We start from the raw sequence: 2238 nt of genomic DNA on the forward strand, positions 1-2238 counted from the left end.
ACATAAAAACTAGACAGCAGCATTCTCAGAAACTTGTTTGTGTTCTGTGCATTCAACTCACAGAGTTGAGCTTTCCTTTGATTGAGCAGTTTTGAAAAAGTCTTTTTGCAGAATCTGCAAGTGGATATTTGGAGCGGTTTGAGGCCTGTGGTGTAAAAGGAAATATCTTCACATAAAAACTAGACAGAAGCATTCTCTGAAACTTCTTTGTGATGTGTGAATTCAACTCACAGAGTTGAACCTTTCTTTTGTAGAGCAGTTTTGAAACTCTTTTTGTAGAATCTGTAAGTAGATATTTGGAGCGCTTTGAGGCTTATGGTGGAAAAGGAAATATCTTCACTTAAAAACTAGACAGAAGCATTCTCAGAATCTTCTTTGTGATAAGTGCATTCAACTCACAGAGTCGAACCTTTCTGTTGATAGAGCAGTTTTAAATCACTCATTTTCTAGAATCTGAAAGTGGATATTTGGAGTGCTCTGAGGCCTATGGTGGAAAAGGAAATACCTACACATAAAAACTAGGCGGAAGCATTCTCAGAAATATCTTTGTGATGAGTGCATTCAACTCACAGAGTTGAACATTTATGTTGATAGAGGACTTTTAAAAGACTCTTTTTCAGGAATCTGAAAGTGGATATTTGGAGCGCTTTGAGGCCTATGGTGGAAAAGGAAACACCTTCACAAAAAAAACTAGAGCAGAAGCATTCTCAGAAACTTCTTTGTGATGTGTGCATTCAACTCACAGAGTTGAACCTTTTTTTTTGATAGAGCAGTTTTGAAACACTATTTTTGTACAATGTGCGGTTGGATGTTTGGAGCGCTTTGATGCCTATGGTGGAAAACGAAATATCCGCACATAAAATCTAGACAGCAGCATTCTCAGAAACTTGTTTGTGTTGTGTGCATTCAACTCACAGAGTTGAACCTTTCCTTTGATTGAGCAGTTTTGAAAAAGTCTTTTTGTAGAATCCACAAGTGGATATTTGGAGCAGTTTGAGGCCTATGGTGTAAAAGGAAATATCTTCACATAAAAACTAGACAGAAGCATTCTCAGAAACTTCTTTGTGTTGTGTGTATTCAACTCACAGAGTTGAAATTTTCCTTTGATTGAGCAGTTTTGAAACACTCTTTTTGTAGAATCTGCAAGTGGATATTTGGAGTGCTTTGAGGCCTATGGTGGAAAAGGAAACACCTTCACATAAAAAGTAGAGCAGAAGCATTCTCAGAAACGTCTTTGTGATGTGTGCATTCAACTCACAGAGTTGAACCTTTCTTTGATAGAGCAGTTTTGAAACACTCTTTTTGTAGAATCTGCAGTTGGATATTTGGAGCGCTTTGATGCCTATGGTGGAAAAGGAAATATCCGCACATAAAAACTAGACAGCAGCATTCTCAGAAACTTGTTTGTGTTGTGTGCATTCAACTCACAGAGTTGAGCTTTCCTTTGATTGAGCAGTTTTGAAAATGTCTTTCTGCAGAATCTGCAAGTGGATATTTGGAGCGGTTTGAGGCCTATGGTGTAAAAGGAAATATCTTCACATAAAAACTAGACAGAAGCATTCTCTGAAACTTCTTTGTGATGTGTGAATTCAACTCACAGAGTTGAACCTTTCTTTTGTAGAGCAGTTTTGAAACTCTTTTTGTAGAATCTGTATGTAGATATTTGGAGCGCTTTGAGGCTTATGGTGGAAAAGGAAATATCTTCACATAAAAACTAGACAGAAGCATTCTCAGAAACTTCTTTGTGATAAGTGCATTCAACTCACAGAGTCGAACCTTTCTGTTGATAGAGCAGTTTTAAATCACTCTTTTTCTAGAATCTGAAAGTGGATATTTGGAGTGCTCTGAGGCCTATGGTTGAAAAGGAAATACCTACACATAAAAACTAGGCGGAAGCATTCTCAGAAACTTCTTTGTGATGTGTGCATTCAACTCACAGATTTGAACCTTTCTGTTGATAGAGCAGTTTTAAAACACTCTTTTTCTGGAATCTGAAAGTGGATATTTGGAGCGCTTTGAGGCCTATAGTGGAAAAGGAAACACCTTTACAAAAAAACTATAGCAGAAGCATTCTCAGAAAGTTCTTTGTGTTGTGTGCATTCAACTCACAGAGTTGAACCTTTTTTTTTGATAGAGCAGTTTTGAAACACTATTTTTGTACAATCTGCGGTTGGATATTTGGAGCGCTTTGATGCCTATGGTGGAAAACGAAATATCCGCACATAAAGTCTAGACAGC

At 37.4% G+C, this 2238-nt stretch overlaps 1 annotated feature.

Annotated features, from left to right (window-relative positions):
• Nucleotides 1–2238: part of a centromere (Linear centromere model derived predominantly from reads generated in PMID: 17803354. This region does not represent an actual centromere sequence, as long-range ordering of repeats and unmapped WGS contigs is not provided by the model. For details of model production, see http://arxiv.org/abs/1307.0035.) that runs on past both edges of the window.

This window comes from Homo sapiens, chromosome 20 (genome assembly GCF_000001405.40).
Source record: "Homo sapiens chromosome 20, GRCh38.p14 Primary Assembly".
Lineage (NCBI taxonomy): Eukaryota > Metazoa > Chordata > Mammalia > Primates > Hominidae > Homo > Homo sapiens.